At 38.0% G+C, this 25,156-nt stretch overlaps 1 pseudogene, besides 1 other annotated feature; it reads right to left on the bottom strand.

Moving 5' to 3' along the window:
• Window positions 6,547-7,206: an enhancer, noted in NCBI's record as "NANOG-H3K27ac hESC enhancer chr16:32832865-32833524 (GRCh37/hg19 assembly coordinates)". NCBI's record gives its function as "activates a minimal SCP1, AML or CMV promoter by ChIP-STARR-seq in primed H9 embryonic stem cells {active_cell/tissue: H9 hESC(primed)}" and the evidence as "EXISTENCE:reporter gene assay evidence [ECO:0000049][PMID:30033119]".
• Window positions 16,749-18,031, bottom strand: LOC101060048 (uncharacterized; annotated as a pseudogene).
• Window positions 18,032-25,156: the final 7,125 nt, after the last annotated feature.

Here is a 25,156-nt window from a genome sequence, read left to right as displayed (position 1 = left end):
GCATTACAAAACCACGGGCAAAGTTCCTTTAGTGTCTTAGTCTTACCAGGTTTGAAAAGCCAGAGAAAAGACTCAAGAACACCATATAAGAGCAAAACAAAAGGACAGGGAAATAATGTGAAGATACTGAAACATTTTACATAAAGTTGTATAAAACATCCTTTAAAGAAAATATAAAGTTTAGGATATACATCAAAATCAGCAGAGCCACTATATAAATAAATAGGCATTGTAAAATAACAAGAGAAAATTTAAATGGATTTCTAAAAAATATTGACACCTATGATTTTTAAAATATGTTTAAGGAATCCCGTATTTCACAGGGCAGCCTTTCACAACACAGATATGTTAGGACATAAAGGTCCTTCTGTTTTTAATTTACTAGTGTTTATAGGGTTACAAATGTCTTCTACCCTTGTCTTTTGTCTGATGGTGCAAAAAATTTTCATAAGCATGTACTTCTGAATGCCTGATGGATTGACATATATAATAAACGGCTAGTATTAAAATATGTGACATAAAACGCATCCAATCTTCTCACTGTTTACATAAATTCTAGGTTTCTCCTATTTACCTCAAGCACGTATGTAGCGAATTCGTACCTTTTAATATTGCCATGGCATTCACATTGAACATAAGTTGAACTCTCTCATATGGTAGCTGGGTTCGGATTCCCTTGACAATTTCCAGTTCTAACCCTCACAGTTCCTCAGTGTGGCTGGCCCAGATATTGACCCTACACAGTTGCCTCCTCCTGGTGACTACCAGCTATGGAACCGTTGGATACAACCTACCTGACTCACCCCACAGACCTCACAGTGCACATGGACAGCCCCCACACGCCAGAGTGACCTGCTCGATTGCAGCAGGAGTCAAGAAGTGTGCCTGCTGGCACTCACCCCACCGACTAGTGCCCCGTGGAAAACTTATTTGGATAATGTTCTGGGCCCAATAAAGGCTGGAGTCCCACAGACCCCTTTTCTCTCTCCTGCTCCCCACTCATCTTCCCCATTTTGTTCAGCCCTATGAGGTGTGCTACTGTATTAGTCCATTTTCACACCGCCGGTAAAGACATGCCCAAGACTGGGTAATTTCCAGAAGAAAGAGGTTTAATAGACGCACAGTTCCACATGACTGGGTAGGCCTCACAATCATGGCACAAGCTGAAAGGCACATCTCACCTGGCAACAGACAAGACAAGAGAGCTTGTGCAGGAAACTCGCCTTTATAAAAACATCAGATCTTGTGAGACTTATTCACTATCAGAAGAACAGCATGGGAAAGACCTGCCCTCGTGATTCAATTACCTCCCAGCTGTTCCCTCCCACAACATGTGGGAATTCAAGATGAGATTTGGCTGGGGACACAGCTAAACCCTCTTCTCAGCTACCCTCTTCTCTCTGGATCTGTGAGTAATAAACCTACTTCTGTGATTTCCCATGTTTGGTTCTGTGGCCTCCATGTGTCTGAGCTGACCTACACTGGAACCTAACTCTCTTCCTGGCCAGGGTCTCTGAGAGTGGCTCTTGTCAGAAATACACAGGACACAGGTCAGGCAACAGTCACTAGGCATCTCCTAGTCTCAACAGATGTTCTGTGAGAGGGAGGCCTGGTCGTGGGATGCACACCTGGCCACTGCTGGGGTAAGGAAGTGTCCTGTGAAAGGCACATGTTAAGCATCCACAACCCCCTGACCAGAACCCCAGAAAGGCAGGGCTGCAATTGTCAGTCACTCTCCAGAGACAAACCTCAAGCCCTAACTGGAGGAAAAGAAAACAATGTAAAAAGTTGAATTTATCTTACTATTTCAATGATCCAGTAAAGACATTCTATGCCTGTACACCACATATTTTCTTCGATTGTGGATTTATTTTAGATAGAATTTTAGGTCTGGCTTTCACTTTAGCCTGGTCCCTACCTCAAGCATAAGGTAAAGTTTTTCCATGCGTTCTTTTCTGGTACTACTACCTGCCAGTGTGGGGTCATGTCCTAGTCTATCTTGAGGGAATCCCCCTGTTCATTATTGTCAGAGTGAGACTGTTAAGTCTTGATTTCCCTGGACAACTTCACTGCATGACTTTTAATATGATTTTTAATATACCCTTTACTGGACAATAAATTATATTTATTACGGAATTATGGGTGATTTCCTTCAATCTGCATCATATCAAGTTGAGGTTCATATTGATGAAAAGTAAAGCATACGTTGAAAATATCAGTAAGGATGTTTTCCCCTCCTTTTGTGCTTGTGATACAAGCACATTTTAATGCAATTGTGGACTCATGCTTTGATCATTCCTATGATGAAAATAACATTTTTAGATAAAGTATCTGAGTTTTATGAGGCCTTTAGTATGTGATGTGATAGAATATCAGAAGACCATACTTTTTTCTAGGTTTCTGTGCAATTGTGTCATTATTTCATCTTTACTCCTACCAGAGTAATTTTGCAAAATGGATATCTTGTCATTCTTCCTGTTGTTATCAGTAAATAAGTGAAATGAAAAGCTAGATTATATAATTTATCTAGAACAAGAAAGTGGAATTGAATCTATATTCATTAATGAGACTAACCAGTCAATTACACAGATAGGCATTTTACATTTTGAAGATCATATGGACCCATTGTCAGAAATATTATTATTTATGTCTATATGGACATCACCTGGGCATATTTACATAGAAATCAATGAGAGCTGATTTTTATTTTTATTATATATATTTTTTGAGATAAGGTCTTGCTTCATTGCCCAGGCTGGAGTGCAGTGTTGCAATCACTACTCACTGCAGCCTCAGCCTCCCAAGCTCTAGCAATCCTTCCACCTTGGCCTCCCAAATAGCTAGGACAACAGGTGCACATCACCATGCCCACTTTTTTTTTTTTATTATACTTTAAGTTTTAGGGTACATGTGCACATTGTGCAGGTTAGTTACATATGTAAACATGTGCCATGCTGGTGCGCTGCACCCACTAACTCGTCGTCTAGCATTATGTATATCTCCCAATGCTATCCCTCCACCCTCTCCCACCCCACAACAGTCCCCAGAGTGTGATATTCCCCTTCCTGTGTCCATGTGATCTCATTGTTCAATTCCCACCTATGAGTGAGAATATGCGGTGTTTGGTTTTTTGTTCTTGTGATAGTTTACTGAGAATGATGACTTTCAATTTCATCCATGTCCCTACAAAGGACATGAACTCATCCTTTTTTTTGGATGCATAGTATTCCATGGTGTATATGTGCCACATTTTCTTAATCCAGTCTATCATTGCTGGACATTTGGGTTGGTTCCAAGTCTTTGCTATTGTGAATAATGCCGCAATAAACATACGTGTGCATGTGTCTTTATAGCAGCATGATTTATAGTCCTTTGGGTATATACCCAGTAATGGGATGGCTGGGTCAAATGGTATTTCTAGTTCTAGATCCCTGAGGAATCGCCACACTGACTTCCACAATGGTTGAACTAGTTTACAGTCCCACCAACAGTGAGAAAAACAAGCAATGGGGAAAGGATTCCCTATTTAATAAGTGGTGCTGGGAAAACTGGCTAGCCATATGTAGAAAGCTGAAACTGGATCCCTTCCTTACAACTTATACAAAAATCAATTCAAGATGGATGAAAGACTTAAACGTTAGACCTAAAACCATAAAAACCCTAGAAGAAAACCTAGGCATTACCATTCAGGACATAGGCATGGGCAAGGACTTCATGTCTAAAACACCAAAAGCAATGGCAACAAAAGACAAAATTGACAAATGGGATCTAATTAAACTAAAGAGCTTCTGCACAGCAAAAGAAACTACCATCAGAGAGAACAGGCAACCCACAAAGTGGGAGAAAATTTTCACAACCTACTCATGTGACAAAGGGCTAATATCCAGAATCTACAATGAACTCAAACAAATGTACAAGAAAAAAACAAACAACCCCATCAAAAAGTGGGCGAAGGACATGAACAAACACTTCTCAAAAGAAGACATTTATGCAGCCAAAAAACACATGAAAAAATGCTCATCATCACTGGCCATCAGAGAAATGCAAATCAAAACCACAATGAGATACCATCTCACACCAGTTAGAATGGCAATCATTAAAAAGTCATGAAACAACAGGTGCTGGAGAGGATGTGGAGAAATAGGAACACTTTTTTTTTTTTAACTTTTGATAGAGACTGGATCTTGCTATGTTGCCCAGGTTGCTTGTGAACTCCTGGGCTCAAGGAATCCTCTCATTTCAGGCTCTTCAACTGCTGGTATTACAAGCATGAACCACCATATGGGCTGGAAGCTGATTTTTAAAATACTGAGATCATATAGATGACAGCATCTGAAAAATAGACAACACCAAGCTTTATGTTAAAAGGTGTGAGGGTATCAATATTGTTGTGGCTATTGGGGAGGAAACCATTAGTAAAACCAGTAAGTTAAAGCTCTTGCTTTAAACTTTGGCTTTAATTTAACAAATGTTCTATGGAGTGACAGTATGTATGCAACCATGCTATGCCCATTCACAGAGGCAGTAGAGGGAAGAATTTCTCAAAGACAACTGTTCTAAGACTCAAATTAAACCGTACTGCGTTTGAAAAGAGAAAGTCCAGGAATTACCAAATCTTTTAGATATCAGATACAAGAGAATGCCAGGTATGCGATGATAATCAGCAATGGTTGTTCACACAATACATCAAATCAGTATTTGAATTAGCTTTTGAATTACAAGGACAAATGGATCAAGTCTAGACTCTTTAGTAGATAAATCTTATTAGGCTGAGATGTGTTTTCCCCTGTTTTTCCACAAGGAGATTACAAATTGGCAAAGCTCAGCTGCTCTCATTTTATGCTCTCACCAAGCCAAAAGCTGAAGTTCATTAATCAGTGTGTCTAAGGGTTCACTGGTTATATACCATTTTGTAGTTTCAGCTATCTTTCCAACTTCCTAAATCATCACCTTCATTTGATCTTGTTTTTTTCCACTATCACTTCTTTATTGACCATATAAAGAATGTAAGTAAGTTCTTATTTTGTTATTGTTCATTTTAGTCTAATTTCATCAAAAGATCACAATCTTTTAATTTCATTTTAATTTCAAAGATTAAATGAAACCTACATAGAAATGAGTGTAAGATTTGCATTTGCATTATTTTGGCATCAATTTGCTCTCCTCCCTCATGCACATAGAGATCATTTCCATGTACGTGATTTCAAACATCCAAGTGCTGTATTAAAAGCAGTTGTAACTTATGGTTCTCATTTTCATGATACAATTACAATATAAACTTCCTCTTGCTGCTGTAACCAATTACCACAAACGTCATGTCTTACAATAAAGTGACCGTTAGTCCAACAGTTCTGTAGTACAGAAGCCTTAAATGAAACTCACAGGGCTAACATCAAGTTTTGGGTAGGGCTGCAGTCTTTCTGAGGGCTATGTGGCATAATCTATTACTTGATATTTTTCAGCATCCAGAGGCCACCTTTATTCTTTGGAACATGACCTCATTCTTATATCCTATTTTTCTTTTTTTTTTTTTTTTTTTTGAGATGGAGTCTCCTTCTGTCACCCAGGCTGGAGTGCAGTGGCACGATCTCAGCTCACTGCAACCTCTGCCTCCCGGGTTCAAATGATTCTTCTGCCTCTGCTTCCTGAGTAGCTTGGACTACAGACACTTGCCACCACACCCAGTTAATATTTTGTATTTTTAGTAGGCATGGGGTTTCACCATGTTAGCCAGGATGGTCTCGATCTCCTGCCCTCGTGATAAACCCACCCCAGCCTCCCAAAGTGCTGGGATTAGGCGTGAGCCACCGCGCTGGGTCCTCATTCTTGTATCTTAAAAGTCAGTAATGTTGAGTAATTTCTCATGCCACCACCTCCAAGGTTGCCTTTCTTCTGCCTTCTTCTTTCATTTAAAAGGAAGTTTGTGATTTCATTGATCCCACCCATTTAAGACAATCTCTCTATCATTTTTCTGCAACCTTAATTTCACTTGAAATCTAATTTCACACTGCCGTGCAACCTAACATAATTGTATGTTAGACTCTGGGAATTAGGACATGAAAATTTTTGGGAGGCCATTCTTTGGTCTACAGCAGAAATAATTTATTTACCTGCAGATTAAAGCGTTCTATATTTTTCTCTCTCCCTTTCTAATTTTTTTAAAATAATATGAATTGCAGTAAAGAGAAAGAAAGAAAAGAAAACAAAGAAAGAAAAAGAAGGAAGGAAAGAAGGAAGGAAGGAAATAAAGAAAGAAAGAAGAAAAGAAGGAGGAAATGAGGGAAGGAAGGGAGGGAGGGAGGAAGGGAGAAAGGCAGGAAGGGAGAAAACAGAAAGCATGAACACAAGAAAGAAAGAAGGAAAGAAAGAGAAAGAAAGAGAGAGAGAAAGAAAGAAAGGAGAAAGGGAGGATGGAAAGGAGGAAGAGAGAATGGTAAAAGGGAGGAAGGCAAAGAAACAAAGAAAATAAACAGGCAAAGGAAGGAAAGAAAAAGAGGAAAGGAAGGGAGGGAGGAAGGAAGAAATGGAGGGCGGGAGGAGGGAACAAAAAAGGAAAGAAAGCAAGAACGTGAGAAAGAAAGAAAGAATATGAGAAAAGAAGGAAGAAAAGGGAGGGAGAAAGGAAGGGAGGGATTAGGGAAGGAAGAATAAGGGAAAGAAACAAAGAAGGAAAGAAGGAAGGAAGGAGAAAAAAAGAAAGAAAAAGAAAGGAAAAGAAAAAAGAAAAGAAAAGGAAGAGGAAAAGAAGAAAGGAAGGAGGAAGGCAAGGGAAGGGAAGAGAAGAGAAAGGAAGATGGAAAGAAAGAAGGAAGAACGCAAATATTAGAAATTCTGGGTTTGTTAGAGAATATGCCATACTGTTTTTTTTTTTTCACTTGAAAGGAAAGAGTATCTGCCATTGAAGATTGGATGTCTTGTTGGTGATATTGTTGTTCTTATCTTCCACATGATTACTGAGTTAGTGCCTAGTCTTTCCATTTCTAAGACAAAAGTGTTGATGTCGGCAAATATAATTTTGGATTTTTCCAGTTCACCTTTGATTTCTTTCCTGTTTTACCTCATGTATTTGGAGGTTCTGTTGTGAGCTGCATACCCTAATTAGTAGGATGATTACATCTTCTTGAGAATTGATTATTCTATTATCTATTATCTCTCATCTCTGATACTATTTCTTGTTCCGAACTCTGTTGTGTCTAATATCAATGTAGTCCTTCCACAGCCTTATTTTAGTGTTTCCATGATATGGCTTTCTCCATATCTTGATGATAACCTCTTTATATCTCTATATATTTGGAGCAAGATATAAAATTTAGACTTGATTTTTTAAAGATTTTTCAAGATGCGATTCTTATTTCTTTTTGTTCTATTTGACATTCTCTGAGTTTCCTATATTTGAAGTTTGATTTTCTGTCACTTCTTTTAGAATATTTTTGGCAGTTATTTTGAAAAATATTTCTTTTGCTCCATTATTTTTCCCTCTTTTCTTTTTGGGATTTCAATCATAACTAGAGTAGGTAATTTCATCTCAGTCTTATGCAGGTACTTTTTCTCAGGGTCTCAGGAATGTAGCCTTCTCACACTTCCGTTCTTTTCCTGGCTGTGTTGGTGAGCTCAGTGATATTCCTCCTTCACCTTCAAGAGCAGTTTTGTTTTGTTTTTCCTGTTTTCATACTCCCAGCATCAGGAGGATCCTAAGTGTGGCAGTTTTTGTTGCCTTCCCCTACATATTAAGTGGAATATCTTGCTCTATTAGGACTCTTATAACAAAATAACATAAACCGGGTGACTAAAAAACAACAGATATTTCTTTTTTCACATTTCTTGAGGCTGTAAGATCTCGGGTCAAGATGCTCACAAATTCAGTGTTGATGAGAGCCCATTTCATGGTTCATAGGTGGTGCCTGCTTTCTATGTCCTCACATAGTGGAAGGCACACAACAACTCCATTGAGCTTCTTTTATAAAGGCACTAATCCCATTCATAAGGGCTCGGCCCCCAAGACCTGGTCACCTCCCAAGTGTTCTGCTCTCCCTGATCTGTGTCATATACAGACTCTCTTGGATTCCTTACCAATTGCTTGAGAGATCGCAGTGGGTTTGTGGGGAAAAAGTTTTCAAGATGATGGATCTTTCCCAACTTCTGCAGCTGTCAGCCGTCTCCCAATCTCACCAGCCCCACTTTGTGTTTAGGAATTTATTGATTATTCCAGCTTTACTTGTCATGGTGGTGCCTATTTGCGTCTGTCCTATGTAAGTGCATCCGTCCTCTTTCGCCTTGCAGGTGCTTGTTTTCCCTCACATTTTGACTCAGTTCTTGGCAACCTCGTTGCTATAAAAATAAAGTCATGACTTTGAAGTTAGTTTGGGTCTTTCATTGTTGTCAGGTTTGGAACCCTATTCCATCCCAGATCTTCAAAACCCAGACTTTTTGGGGGGTTGAAATTTTAGGGTTTCTCTTTGAATTGTAGTTTTATCTTCTTTCAGTTACCATTTGCATTTTCATAATGATTAATGAGACTAAGCTTTTTTGTGTAGTTGACTGTACCTTTGGATTTTTTCCCCAAATACCTTTTTATTTCTTCTTTTCTTTATGGTTTTAGAAAAGGTAGTTTACATAATTGCAGCTTGATTTTTTACTCAGTTAATGGCATGCTTAATGGAGAGAAAAAATATTAAATATATTTCCCTTTTTAATTACTGTGCTTTTTTCTTTTCTAAGGAAATGTTTCATTATGTTAAATTTCAGTGTTATTCTACTTAGCTATTCCTTAAATATTATAGTATTTAGGATTTCACATGTAAATTTGTAACATATCTTGAGTTTATTATGTATAGAGTAAGGCTATTTTCTCTTTTTTGTTTTTTAAGGTAAAAATCACATAATATAAAATTAACAACCACCATTTTAAAGCATACAATGCACTTGCTTTTAGTATATTCACAATGTTCCAGGGCAATTTCATCATGTCCCTTCCAAAAACCCATTATACCTAAGGTTGTTACACCCTAATCTGCTTCCCTGAGCCCTAATGACCACTAATCTGATTTATATCCCAATTGATTTGCCAATTCCTGATGTTTCATGTGAATAAAATCAAGTAATATTTGTCCTTTTGTGCACTTAACAGAATGCTTTCAAATTTCACCAATATTATACCATATATAAGTACTTCATTCTTTGTTATAGCTGAAAATTGGGTGTCCATTTATGAGTCAACAAGCATATGGATTGTTTCCACTTTTTGACTGTATGAATATTACTGCTGTAAATATTCATGCACATGTTTATTTTTTGAGCACCTATGTTTTGTAAGATTAACAGCTGACTTAAGAGAAACAATGGAAGCAAGAGGCAGTAGAATAATATATTCAAAAGATGCAAAGGAAAAAAAAACTCTCAGCCACGAATTCCTTATCCAGCAATTATTTTTCAAAAATGAAGATAACACAAAGACTTACCCAGATAAACAGAAATATTAACTGAAGTTGTTGCTGGCAGACCTACTATATAAAAAAAACTCTAAAATAAATTCCTAAGGCTAAAAGCAAGTTACAGAAGACAGTCACTTGAATCCACATTTTTAAAAAAACACTGGTATAGGTAATATTGACATTATAAAAGACAGTAAAAATGCATTTTTTCTCTTTATCATAAATTGTTTATTAAATAACGTGTGTATAATGGCCGGGCACGATGGCTCACACCTGTAATCTCAGCACTTTGGGAGGCCAAGGCGGGCGTATTACAAGGCCAGGAGATCGAGACCATCCTGGCTAAGATGGTGAAACCCCGTTTGTACTAAAAATACAAAAAAATGAGCCGGCCGTGATGGTGGGCGCCTGTAGTCCCAGCTACTCGGGAGGCTGAAGCAGAAAAATGGCATGAAGCCGGGAGATGGAGCTTGCAGTGAGCAGAGATTGTGCTACTGCACTCCAGCCTGGGTGACAGAGGGAGACTCCGTCTCAATGATAATAATAATAATATGTGCAGAATGTATTGCTGAGTATTTGACATGTAGAAATGGAACACGTCTATAACATATTTTCCAGTAACATCAAAAAGGAGGTAGTTGGAAGAAAAATGTATTGCGATAAGGTAATAACTCTAGATGGTAAAGTAATAATTACTAAAATGTATTGTTGGCTTTGTAACTTTAATAGATGTAATGTGTAAAGTGATAATACTTTAAAATGGAGGAAACAAAAGAGATTTATATAAGAATGTTGTTTCTATGTATTACTAAAAGTTTACTAGTGTAGATTGGAAGATGGTTTGAATAATTAATTTTCCATATACATATAGGGTAAACTTACAACAACAAAAATTCTCAAAAATATATAATAAAATAATTCATTAGTAATCTAAAGTTCCCTATTTTAGAAAATATTCTTTCATTGCAAAATAAAGCGATAAAGAAAAATATTTGAGAAATATATAAAACAAACGGTAAAATGGCAGACATAAATAGAATTATACCAATTATAATCTTAAATGTGAGCAGATTAAAATCCATTCCAGAAGCAGAGATTGTCAGACTGGATTAAAACAAGTGATCCCAATATACGCTGAGATGCAAGGATACTAATGGATTGAAAGTAAAAAGATGACAAAAAATATCATGCAAAGAGCAATCATAAGAACACTGAAATCATTATACTCATAACACACAATATAGACTATTAAAAATATGAATAGGATTTTAAAAATTTATATTCTAGTGAAAAGGGGGACTACGCTTTAGGAAGACATAGCTATTACAATCATGTATGCACAGATAGGAGCTAAATTGTTTCCTCTATATAGATGCTGAAATTCTAACCACTGAATATGACCTCATTAGGAAATATGTTCTTTGCAGCTGATCAAGTTAAGATACAATCAGATGAGCCTGAATTCAATATGACTGATGTCCTTGTGAAAAGAAGAAATTTGAGTAGAGGGAGACATACACACAGGGAGAGTACCATGTGATTATGAGGACAGAGATTAGCCAAGGAATGCCAAAGACTGCCACTAAACCACCAGAAGTGAGAAACAAGACACAGAGCAGGCTTCCTCTCATAGCCCTTGAAGGGACCATCCCTGCTGACACCTCAATCTCAGACTTTTAGCTTCCAGGACTATAAGATTATAAGACTATAAATGTATGTTGTTCAAGGCACCCAGTTTGTGTTACTTGGTTATGGCAGCCCTAGAAAACTAATACATGAACTAATAACAAAGCATAATAACATGAAGCAAAAATTGACAAAAGAGGAGCATCAGCAAAATGGCAGTGGAGAAAGCTGCAATCTTTCATTTCCCCACAGAAACATCACACAACTAAGAGAAACTGTCCGAATAAACTTCGCCAAAACTCTGGAAAATGGTCAAAAGATTACAACATCCAAGTGAAAGCAGACTCAAGAAAAAGACAACTGGAAAACTTTACTACATTTTTAACTTGCCTTTGCCCCAGCAAATTGGCAGTTCTGAAGTGTCAGAAGCCCACGTTCCCAGTGAGGAAGCCTGGTCCATGGTCCAAAGGAACAAGAGAAGATCTTAACCACAAATTATTATGTGTCTGTTCTGACTGGTCTGGGGGATACCTAAAGGACTCATGAAAGGCTTTTTTTTTTTCTGTGTTGCTAGAATACAGAACATATAAGGAATGGACATTATTAAGAAACTCTGCAAGGAGACCTAACAAACCACAGATGCTTAGGGCAAAAATTAAAGTTTACACATATAGTAGATCACCTTCAGCAGAGCAAGAAAAGTTGGAGAAGAGTATTTCAAAAACTAAGACATACAAAATCATTCACATACATGGGAGAGTCTACAAAGTCACATGTATTCATAGGTTAAGCCACATGCTGACAAATGTCATAAGAAGACACTACGCTTTTACCTTGGCCGATCCCTCCCCTCAGTGCAAGCTCTGTGCAAGAGTGAACTTGAACTTCACTCAGTGCAAGAGTGAACACACACTTTGTGCCGGCTTTAAAGAACCCAGCACAAAGCCAGTCTGCATGGCCTAGAGACATATTTTGCTGGACAATGATTACTTGTTTTTCTTTTTGTTTTTCTTGTATTTGCCTGTTTGATTGGTTCCTGACATACCAGAAAATCACTGTCAAAACATTAGCTTAACATTTGTTAAGGAAACAAAAAGACTTCGGTGACCACACCTTATAAACCAAACAGTTTTGTAAATCACTTTAGAAAATTTCACTAAAAAAAAAAAATCCTTAACAATATAATAAGTAAAGAAAATTTAAAACCACAAAACATTACTGTGTTTGTGGGGGGGGGGGTCTGATTTACAGAGTAACCACATAGTAATTATAATTATTAGAATGTCCGTTTTCAAAAACGTTACAAGGCATACAAAGAATGGGAAAGTGTGGCTCATTCAAAGGACCAAAATAAATTGACAGAAAATATCCCTAAGGAAACCCAGACATCAAACTTACCAGACAAAGACTTTAAAACAACTCTCTTCATTATACTCAAATGTCAAAAGGAAAACATAAACAAAGAAATAAAGGAATCAGAAAAAATATTAAAAAGTAGGAATATCAGCAAAGAGATAACAGAAATTCTGGAGTGGAAAACTACAATGATAAAAATTTAAAAATCACCAGAGGGATTTAAGAGTATATTTGCACACACAGAAGAAGCCATGAACTTGAAGAGAAGAAAATGGAAAATACTGACTCTCAGAAACAGAAAGAATAAAAAATAAACAATGAGCAGAGACTAATGAATCTGTGGGACATCATCAAATAGACCAACATTCATATTCTAGAAGGATAAATTTTGTTGTTAAAAAGTTTACCATTCTTTCTTTTCACCTTTCTTCCTTCCTCCTTCCCCCTCCTCCTTTTTACTTTTCTTCCTCTTCCTTTCTCTTCTTCTTTCTCTCCTTCATTATCCCTTTCACTGTTTCTCTTTCTCCCTTTCTCCTTTTTCTTTTCTTTCAATTTTCTCAATTACTAAGAGATGTTTAAGTACCCTTACCATGTTAGTAGATACGGTTATTTCTCCCTTTAGTTCTCTTTTGAGATTTATAGTCACTCAAATAAAGAGATAACCCAAACATAAGCGTCACAAACAGGCTTTCATACCATTCTTAATCTGGTCCTGTAATTCTTCATTGCTGTATTAACTTTCTGATGCTTTTAAGGATGTTTTATAACAAATTGTGTAGCTTTTTCCAATGGAATGTTTATTCTGAATTATCTAATTCATATTGTAAGTATAGAGGGAGTTTAATATAAAATTATTAAACTAATATTTGTGAAAGAATGTATTTGTGCATTTAACAAATATGTTAATCCTCAGACTGTTATTGGGCAGCTGAGCATACAGGAATAAAAATAACACAATTTTTATGTGTACAATATTTATGGAATACGTTACTGGACCCAATAAATAATTTAGTTAATAACATGACAAAGAACAGAAATTGTATACACTATAGAGCATAGTAATGGAATAATGAATGATTAAAGTTATTAATATTAGGTAGAAAATGAAGGGTATCTTTGAGAGCAGAACTCAAGGAAGCAAGCAATTCACCTTATGAGGAAAGAGTTACCTGTGGATAAAGGAGAAACTGAGAAACTTACAAGTCAAGACTTTTTGAGCAAAAACAAAAATATGACTATTAGTCACCAATTCAGTACAGTGAAAAAAATGTTGAAGAGATATCTTGGAAGTAAACCATGTTGTGGAAGAGCATGTAGGGTTTTGATAATCATGGGATGATTCTGAATTAATTTTAAATGCGATAGGAATATATGAGATAATTTCACCAGAGTATAATATGATTGTGTTTGCATTTCAAAGGGGGTGTATCTGGTGCACTGTGTAGAATAAATAGGTTATGTGAGCAAATAAATTGGGAGGCTACTCTAATCCAGCGAAAAAAGGTAGTGACTTAGGTGAGAATGCTGTCAGGATGAGTGGTAGTAGTGGTGAGAAGTCGTTAGGCCATGGATGTATTTCATAGGACTGGCCAAGAGAACTGCAGCTAAATTGGAGTGTAGGGAGTGAAATAGAGAACTCAAAGATGACTCTCAGCAATGGAAGGTGACAGCTGTCACTGAAGCATGCTGATGCCTCTTATTAAGAGAGTTACTTGGGAATGGCAAGATCAAAATTTCTCACTTTCAAATTTATGAAAAATATTGTTTTCAGAACGAGTGACTTTGGGATCAGAAAGCCACCATTCTAATTGATGGTTCCACGACTGCACGGGCTCACACTCGCAAGAGCAAAAGTAAATCATCACAAAGGTGCTTCTTGATAATTCTAGAGAATGGAGAATTACTGTAACATCTTTCTGATTTTAGGAGAGGTAGCAGTTCCCTTTTTAGCCTAAACGCCATTTTTTTTTTACAGCTCAGCCAAGAGACTCCATTATAATTTTCAAATGTGTGTAACTTAAATTCTCATATGAAATATCACTATGCTTAAATTAGTCAAAACATTTTCCCCATCTATAACTCTATCTTGTCATTGCAATCATTTTCACAAAAGTGACTGCAGCTCACAGACCCTAAAAGGAGAAAATCCAGGGTAGGTTATCTGATCTAGTTAGTTTCAAAGACAGGATCTACAGATTATTTAATATGAAATAGGTCACCTGAAATGAAGTGTTTACTGAAAACAGCTTGGATCAGCCCAGTTTTCTACCACTGAACCATGCATTTGGTTTAAAAAACACAACAACTCTGGGGAATATCAGCTGCTTCCAACTGTGTTGAAGGTGTTAAAGAAAAGAGCATGAAATTAAAAATGATCATCTGAGGCCTTTATAGTCTCTGCTCAAGAGACTAGAGTTTTCCATTCTTAACGAAACACCCAAATATCTTAATAATTGGGTAAAATCTAAATATCAGAGATAATTTTATCTTGAAGATTGTTAAATTATAACGGTGATTCACTACCTTGCCACGTCTCTGAGTCAAAAATTAGGTCTTTGTTTAGGAATCAATCATAATCTGCAATTTGGAAATAGGAAGATTTTAGAAGACTCAGACATTGACTTTCTTGTGTGCAAAAAAAAAGACATATTGAGATAATACAAGTCTTTCCTTGCAAGGATACCTCTAATGCTCATACACCACCTCCCCTAACATTAATATAGCTTCCAGGTCACTAACCAGTGTCAGAGAGCAGCCCATGCAACTAGAAATTCAAAAGATGTCGAACATAGGGTCAAGCTTAGAATAAGATGTCTTAGCTAATTAAGTATGCTTTTTTCCCGAAATTCATATTAACAAAATCTTGGATATGTCAGAGAATGCATTCTAAGTTCACTCAACCTAGGAGGGAGAAACATAATTTTAAATGAAGAGCTGAAGCATTCTTGTCCTAACAGAAAGCAAGGAAAACGAAATATCACACCACAGGAGGGATTTCACAAATTTGTGTCAACATCAAAACCTTAAAATAGGCAAGGAGAATGCAGATTCACAATGAACTCTTGTACTTGTTTTGTTCAGAGAAGAGATGGTTCTGAGAGAATGACAGTGAACTAACCCCAGCTGGTTTAGTTGATGCTTTCAACTACTGCTTCTGATCAACTCCTTTAGCTAGAATAAATTGATGAGGATTTTGGCATGTGGTATTAGAGATGGTTATTAATTTTCTCCTCTTATTTGCATTGTTCAATATAGTAAATACTAGCTGTATATGGCTATTTCAATTCAAATTAATTACAATGAAATATACTTAAATATTGAATTTTTTAGTCACTCTTGGTTCATTATTGAATATCTTCAGCTAAGATTTCCCAACTAAAGACACTAAGAGGTGGCTTAGTTAACTGGTCGTCCACAAATATTGAAGCTGTTGTTAACTCCTGATATATTCTCTGCAAAGAGAATATTCATGAGCCTCCTCCTGAAATCAGCAGCCTAGAGATAGTTTTATAAACGGGATACAAGTTGGAAATCTATATACTCTTTAAGTGTTTGAAATATTAGCTTCCCAGGGAAGAAAATCAAATTCATAAGATATGTTAGGACAATTTAACTCAAGATGTTCAAAACTGAAATGACATATTCTACAACATGTGATAAAACCACCCCCTAACAACTTAAAGCAAAACAGGGATGGACCTTAAAGACCTGCCTTTTCCTCATCCCCCAGCCAGTTTTCACATCTTGCATTTTATTTTGAAAGGTCCCTATCCCCCTGGTCTCTTGTTTCTAGACTTGGCACATATTTAAGTTTGTTACCTCTCTCTACTGACTTTTCTCTCTTCAAACAGTATCTATGCCTGCCAAATGTGAACATACAAAAAACAAATCAGAATGTGCCATTCTGATTTAAACTGCTTATTAGTTAATACCCTCAAGATAACATCTGGGTTCTTAGCTTCAATGAGTCAAGCCTACTTACATCTTTTTTTGTCTTTGGCTGCACATTTCCTGTCACATCCACTCCAGCAATGCCAAGCTGTGCCAGCCTTCTACCCCATCTCCATTATTTCGCCCTCCGCCGCCGCGGCTTTTTGACCCCCCGCCGCCGGAGCTTTTTGTCCCCCCGCCGCCGCGGATTTTTCCCGCCCCGTCGCGGCGGCTTTCTCCCCCCACCGCGCCTCGGCTTTTTGTACGCTGCGGCTTTTTGCCCCCTCAACGCTAGAGCTTTTTGACCACCGCGGGTTTTTGACTCTTCACCGCTGCGAATTTTGCCGCCCTGGCTTTTTGCCCGCCAGGGCTTTGTCCCCCCCCCCCCCCGCCGCCGCGGCTTTATCACCGCCTTGGCTTTTTCCACCCTGCCCCCGCGGCTTTTTGCCCGCCGCGGCTTTCTGCCACCCACCCGCCGCCGCGGCTTTTTGCCCCACCGCCGCCGCGGCTTTTTGCCCCCACCCCGCCTCGGCTTTTTGCCCGCCTCGGCTTTTTGCCCCCCGCCGCGGCCGCGGCTTTTTGCCCGACCAGGCTTTTTGCCCCACCGCCGACACAGCTTTTTGCACCCTCGCCGCCGTGGCTTTTTGCCGCCGCGGCTTTCTGCTACCGCTGCTTTTTGCCCCACCGCCGCTGTGGCTTTTTGCCCGCCGCGGCTTTTTGTCGCCGCGGCTTTTTACCCGCCACGGCGTTTTACCCGCCGCGGCTTTTTGCCCCCCGCTGTCACGGCTTTTTGCCCCCCCGCCGCAGCGACTTTTTCCTCGCCGCGGCTTTTTGCCGCCGCCGCTGTTGCCGCCGCTTTTTGCGCCCGCGGCTTTTTGCCGCTGTTGCCGCCGCCTTTTGCCCCCGCCGCAGCGGCTTTTTGTCCCCGCCGCCGCGGCTTTTTGCCACCGCGACTTTTTGCCCCCGCCGCCGAGGATTTTTGTCCCCGCCGCCGCGGCTCTGAGGGCGGGAGCGGCAGGCTCGGCTGCCAGCTCTACTGGCGTCCTGGCAAGGGCAGCGCCCAGGGGTGCTCCAGGTCCAGCTCTCCTGGCTTAGGGATTCCTTGCCTAGGTGCCGGCGCCCCGGGCTCCTTGCCTAGGCCCCTGTGGCCTGCATAGAGCGGCGCTGCCTGCGGAGGCGATGGGGGAGAAGAAGGATGGTGGTGGTGGGGGTGATGCGGCGGCCACGGAGGGTGGCACAGGGGCTGCGGCCAGCCGGGCGCTGCAGCAGTGCGGGCAGCTCCAGAAGCTCATCGTCATCTTCATTGGCAGCCTGTGCGGGCTGTGCACCAAGTGCGCTGTGTCCAGTGACCTCACCCAGCAGGAGATACAGACCCTGGAGGTAAGGGGTTCGGGGACCCGGGCTGGGCTCCAGGAGCAGCCCGGACACCTCCTTCGGGGCCCCAGTTCACTCCTGGCCGAGTTGCACCCTTGAGCCCACGTCACCCCCTTGGAGGCTTCCCCTCCCTCCTGCACTCGCTGATGCGGCAGCCAGAGGACCCGGGACCAGCCCTCACCTTGGGCAGGATTTGTGGAGCGGGTGTGTGGTGGGAACTGGGATGGAGGCTCCAGGGTCCCGTGGGGGTGGGGGTGGGCTGCGCGAGGACATCCCCTTACCCCCTGAATTTCCATCTGGTCCAGCCCTCTCATCTTGTAGGTGAGGAAACCGAAGGCCTGAGGGAGAAATGACTTGCCAGGAACCCCTGTTAAGGAAAATTAACAAAGTGTGGTTATTAAAGAAGAACTGAGTTGGGAGTCAGACCTGGAGGCCCGCACCCGTGGTTAAGACATTATACCACCTTGAGTCTGGCCTGTTGACTGAGGGTGAGCCACTCCATCCTCATGTGATTGTGGGGTCTTAACCTCAAAGGGTTTCCTGCAGGAAGAAGCAAATGGGTTTGCTTTCCTAGCTCTGTCCAGTACGTTAGGGACCCTGAGGACTGAAGGGATTCTTGGAGAGCCATCTGGTGTATGTCATGGGTAGGTCTTTTTTGAAGGTCAGTCTGCCCAGTGGGCTGGCTCAGCCCGAATGAACTGTCTTGAATCTTTGGAGTTGTCTGTGTACTTTTAAGGGCTTCTCAGCCTTGCACCAAAAGATCCCTCTGGAAATTAGGTGGGATAAACCTTAACTTTTGTGGAGCCTTGTGTTTGTCTTAAAAGTTCATGCACATAGCCAGGTGTGGTGGCTCCCACCTGTTATCCTTTCCTGGATCCCTTGAGTCAAGGAGTTTGAGACCAACCTGGACAATATAGTGAGACCCCATCTCTACAAAAAAGAAAATATTAGCCAGGGGTGGTTGTGAGCATCTGTAGTCCCAGCTACTACTGTGGCTCAGGCGGGAGGAGCACTTGATCCTGCACTGAGCTGTGATCTCACCAGTGTACTCCAGCCTGGGCCACAGAGCAAGACCGTGACTCAAAAAAAAAAAAAAAAAAAAAAAGACAAGAAAAATTCTTCAAGATTTTGCATTCTGTCCCACTATCCATTGGTTTTCATGTCAAGATAATGTCAGAAATTCTTTACAATTGCTTCCAGAAGGAGTAGCCTTTTGATCTAGTGCACAGGTGTCCAGTCTTTTGGCTTCTCAGGGCCACATTGGAAGAAGAATGCTCCTGGGCTGCACATAAAATACACTAATGCTAACAACAGCTGATGGGGTTAAAAAAAAAAAAAAGTTTGTGCATAATTTTCATGCTACCCACCACCAAAGATAGGTGGAAAAGTCCTTGTAGTCAAAGGGTTGGACACTGCTGATCTAGTGTCTTGTTGTCCGTTTTGGCTTTCTCCCTGATTCCAGAATGCAGGTAGAGATGTAGAGACATGGTCTCAGGACAGCTGTTGAGATAAAAAAATTCGTTGTCATTTATTCCCAAGCACAGCTGTTTCTCATTGCATTGAAAAAGTCTCCATTCAAACTGCTGTCACATATAAAATCCATTTATGTAAGTCTGTATTTTTCTGTTGTCTTGGCCTTTGTAGGCAGTAGTGTGTTTTAACCGAGCAAACTGTCCTTCCAAATAATGAAGCCGAAGTCAGCCTACCTACTTGCCATTTTTCTTCCACTTCCATTTTTGTAACCTCAGAATAATTGTAAGAATGAATTAAGATTTGTGTTTAAGGCCAGGCACAGTGTCTCAGGCCTGCAATCTCAGCACTTTGGGAGGCGGAGACTGTTGTATCGCTTGAGCTCAGGAGTTGAAGACCAGCCTGGGCAACATACTGAGACTCCGTCTTGTATAATTTAATTAAAATTTAAAAAAAGAAGAGAAAAAGACTTGTGTTTAAAATTTAAAAAAAGGGGGGAAAGTGTAATGCAAAATGTGGACTATGCCAGCTATGATTGGGAAAACTAGTTTTTCATACAGCATTATCTGTAGACTTGTATTAGCAGCATACTGGTCATAAGCGTTCTGCTTTCCTCAAATATGATGAGGTAAGCTAATTTAAAGTGTGTTGGGGCTTTCTGCTGCGTGGCTCCTGGAGGTGTTGAGTCCCAATTTCGCCAATTAATTTGGGTTTAGTTTTGACGTGGATAAGGGAGACCAGCTTCATTCATGGTGTACACACAGTTTTGCCAATAAGGTAAAAAAAAAGCCACCTGAATGTTCCTACTCATTAGATGCTATCTGGAGAGCTCCTACCCCACCCCCACCAAGGCCCGGGCCATTAAAAAGACTCAATGCAGTCTTTCTGTATCTCATACTGTATTCTGCAAGATACTCCTGTGAAAGAAAGTTGTGCTGCATCAGCCATCTCCCTCTTGAAGGTCCCTGCGGATGAGGATTTGTGTTTTGAAAGTGTTGAGACTTCCTGCAACAACAATTCTCAAACTTATTTGTCCATGGGATCTTTTCTTCCACTGAATGTAGTTGGGGAGACACGGCCTTAAGCCTTGAGCAGAGAAAGAGACAAGAAACTGTTGGCTCACTTACAACCAAGTGTTGTGTTTATGTTTTAGGTTTTTATGAAACTGAGATGCCGTTTGAGGTTCTAAATGAAATTGGGTGGTTGAAGAGAGGCTGGTATCCCTGTAGACTTAGCCAGCCATGAGAAGTTGCCTTTTGTTGAAGGAGGTGTTTTACAAAGGGAAATAGGGTGTCTCCTGGGCATCGCATTAGCAATTAAATACATGTATCACTGAAATGAAATGAAATGATGAAATGATGAAATGAAATGATGAAATTAAACGAAATGATGAAATGAAGAAATGAAATAATGAGATGAAATGATGAAATGAAACGAAATGATGAAATGGAATGATGAAATGAAATAATGAAATGATGACATGAAATGGGGAAATGAAATGAAATGAAATAATGAAATGAAATAATGAAGTGAAATGAAATGAAATGATGAAATGATGAAATGAAATGAAAAGATGAAATGATGAATTGAGGAAATGATATGAAATGATGAAATGAAATGATGAAATGAAGTGAATGATGAAATGATGAAAAAATGAAATTAAATGATGAATTGATGAAATGAAATGATGAGATGAAAAGGTGAAATGAAACGAAATGATTAAATGAAATGAGGAGATGAAAAGATGAAATGAAATGATGAGATGAAATGAAATGATGTGATGAAATGATGAGATGAAGTGAAATGATGAAATGATGAAATGTAATGAAATGATGAAATGGAATGATGAAATGAAATGATGAAATGAAATTGTGAAATGAAATGAGGAAATGAAATGGAATGATGAAATGATGAAGTGAAATGATGAAATGATGAAATGAAATGAAAAGATCAAATGGTGAAATGAAGAAATGATATGAAATGAAATGAAATGATGAAATGAAGTGAAATGATTAAATGATGAAATGAAATGAAATGATGAATTGATGAAATGATCAAATGAAATGACGAGATGAAAAGATGAAATGAAATGATGAAATGACGAGATGAAAAGATGAAATGAGATGAAATGATGAGATGAAATGATGAGATGAAATGAAATCATGAGATGATGAAATGATGAGATGAAGTGAAATGAAATGAGATGACGAAATGCAACAATGAGAAGAAATGAAATAATGAAAGGATGAAATGATGAGATGAAATGATGAAAGGATGAAATGAAATGATGAAATGAGGAAATGAAATGATGAAATGATGGAATGAAAAGATGAAATGTTGAAATATGAAATGATGAAATGATGACATGAAGTCAAATGATGAAATGATGAAATAAATGAAATGATGAAATGAAATGAGATGAAATGAAATCATGAGATGAAATGATGAAATGAGATGAAGTGAAATGACGAAATGAAATATTGAGATGAAGTGATGAAATGAAATGAAACAATGAAATGAAGTGAAATGAAATGAGATGAAATAATGAGATGAAATGATGAATTGATGAAATGAAATGAGATGAAAAGATGAAATGAAATGATGAAATGAAATGATGAGATGGAAAGATGAAATGAGATGAAATGAAATCATGAGATGAAATGATGAAATGATGAAATGAAGTGAAATGATGAAATGAAATGAAATGTTGAGATGAAATGATGAAATGAAATGAAATAATGAAATGAAATGATGAAATGATGCGATGAAATGAAATCATGAGATGAAATGATGAAGTGATGAGATGAAGTGAAATGAAATGATGAAATGGAATGATGAAATGAAATGGTGAAATGAAATGAGGAAATGAAATGAAATGATGAAATGATGAAGTGAAATGATGAAATGAAATGATGAAATGATGAAATGAAATGAAAAGATCAAATGGTGAAATGAAGAAATGATATGAAATGATGAAATGAAATGACGTGATGAAATGAAGTGAAATGATTAAATGATGAAATAATGAAATGAAATGATGAAATGATGAATTGATGAAATGATCAAATGAAATGAGATGAAAAGATGAAATGAAATGAAATGATGAAATGAAATGACGAGATGAAAAGATGAAATGAGATGAAATGATGAGATGAAATGAAATCGTGAGATGATGAAATGATGAGATGAAGTGAAATGATGAAATGATGGAATGACGAAATGCAACAATGAGAAGAAATTATGAAATGAAATAATGAAATGAAAGGATGAAATGATGAGATGAAATGATGAAAGGATGAAATGAAATGATGAAATGAGGAAATGAAATGATGAAGTGAAATGATGAAATGATGGAATGAAAAGATGAAATGATGAAATGATATGAAATGATGAAATGACATGAAATCAAATGATGCAATGATGAAATAAATGAAATGAAATGATGAAATGAAATGAGATGAAATGATGAAATGATGAGATGAAAAGATGAAATGATGAGATGAAATGAAATGAAATCATGAGATGAAATGATGAAATGAGATAAAGTGAAATGACGAAATGAAATGTTGAGATGAAGTGATGAAATGCAATGATGAAATGAAATGAAACAATGAAATGAGGTGAAATGAAATGAGATGAAATGATGAGATGAAATGATGAATTGATGAAATGAGATGAAAAGATGAAATGAAATGATGAAATGAGATGAAAAGATGAAATGATGAGATGAAATGAAATGATGAGATGAAATGATGAAATGATGAGAAATGTTGAGATGAAATGATGAAATGAAATGAAAGAATGAAATGAAATGATAAAATGAGATGAAATGATGAGATGAAATGATGAAACGAAAGGATGAAATGAAATGATGAAATGATGAAATGAAAGGATGAAATGAGGAAATGAAATGAAATGATGAAAAGAAATGAAATAATGAAATGAAATGATGTAATAGATGAACCAAAAATACTTATTCACTTTTTTTCTTGGCATCCTTCTAAGAGTATTTTAGTGAGGTTAATTTCTAAAAATAAATTGCTATTCAATGGCTATACAGTTGGCCTTTGCACCACAGGGGTTTGAACTGTGCACGTCCACTTAGCAAAACCAACAATTCTACATCCTTATCCACACCCTGCCCATGAAAAGGATGAGGATGAAGACCTGTTTGATCATCTACTTCCATTTAATAACTAGTAAATCTATTTTCCTTATGATTTTCTTTTTTCTTTTGTCTGGCATGTTTGTTAAGAATACAGTATATAAGACATATAACATATTAAATATGTGTTAATTGACTGTGTTATTTGTAAGGCTTACAGTAGGCTATTAGTAGTTAAGTTTTGGGGGAGTCAAAGTTATAGTGGATTTTCTACTGTGCAGGGGGCCAGCACCCCAACCTCCGTGTTGCTTAAGGGTCAACTGTACATGTTATTTCCTTTCCTGTAAGAGAAAAATGAGAAGGTCTTTTCTCCAATAAGTGTCTTCAAAATGTAGCAGATTTGAAATGTGTTGGCGCCACCATTTTGCGTCTCATTTTGAAAACTTATTATTTAAAATCGTACTAAAGCCTACCTTACTTTTCCAACCTTAGAAAAAATGTTCCAAAGAAAAGGGGTGAAACCATGCTAGTTTGCCCTGAAATTTGAAATTATCTTTTAAAAATATATTTTGACATTAATTACTTCCAAACTAGAGATCAGTTGCATACAAATGGCAGGTCACCCTAATCCACCCTATGACTGCACTTAGATTCATGAGGGATTGTGCCATCTAGAAAGGGCAGAGAGGAGGAATAGAGTGCTCTGCGTCTTGAAATATAAACATGCACATAGCCACATGCTTTGATTCTGTTGTCACTGTGTACTTACTGCTAGGAAGAGGGCATGTTTGTGTATTTTTATGCAAATTATTATCCAAGTTGTTAATGATTTACGCTTTCAGAACCATATAAAGATATTTTTCCTTTCAGATATAAACTATCTTGCATTGTTCTTCTGATCATATGAGGGATAAATTTGCCTAAATATTCTTCAGACCATAATAGTATGTCCTTATAAATGCCAGTAGCAAGAGTAGAATCAACCACAACTGCCTTAGTAATTATTTAAAGCATGTCTGCCTATAAGTAATTGGCATTTTATATAATCAAGAATATTTGATATAATAATCTCTCAACTATTTGAAACACGGCTCACATGTATTAATTTTTTAAGCAAATATATATATAATATCAGTGTACATGAAACTAAATTTTGGACTTTAGCACAGCTTCTTAGAATCCTGACTTAAATGTCTACAGTAATAGTTGGCTTAAAAAAATTTAGCACACTGTCACTATGATGAAAAAAATTACTATAAAATATTTAAAAAATTGTTCCACCCTAACATTTAGAATATTTTCACATTTGTGGTTAAAACCTATAGTGATTGTTCTTAGAATTTAGATAAAAAATGTTCCAGAAAGATTGAAGAGAAGCACTTTAGTCAATTTTTAGTTGTTGAAGCATGAAGAAAGGGCATTTCATTGACATTTTAAAAATTATTCAGATTCCCTCTTTGAATTCAAGAGTTTCAAAGATATCTTATTTTAAAATACCAAAATAGGAATAGGATATGAAGGGCTGGTTATGAGTAATATGATACAATTTTATGAGATGACGAGATTACAATAACAATACCTCCTCTCATAGAATAGCCAGCAAGTCTCCACTAAATAACAGTGCCTTGATTTTGTAGATGTTTAATCATGGATATTGAGTTAATGTGAACCATTTGTAGACACAGGAGTTTATTAAAGACTTATATAATATCTTTCAAGTATTTAGAATAGTGTTGAAATTAAGCCTGCATCCCCACGATTTTCAGCAGTGCTGATGCCTAATAAACTCAACCCCTTGCATGCCAAAATTGGCTTAAAGCCCATCTGTTACCCAAGCTACACTTCAAGCATCAAGGTTCAAAAA

The sequence above is a fragment of the Homo sapiens genome, chromosome 16 (genome assembly GCF_000001405.40).
Source record: "Homo sapiens chromosome 16, GRCh38.p14 Primary Assembly".
Classification (NCBI taxonomy): Eukaryota; Metazoa; Chordata; class Mammalia; order Primates; family Hominidae; genus Homo; species Homo sapiens.
The sequence above is the reverse complement of the archived record's forward strand: the minus strand, read 5'-3'. Positions and strand labels throughout refer to the sequence as shown.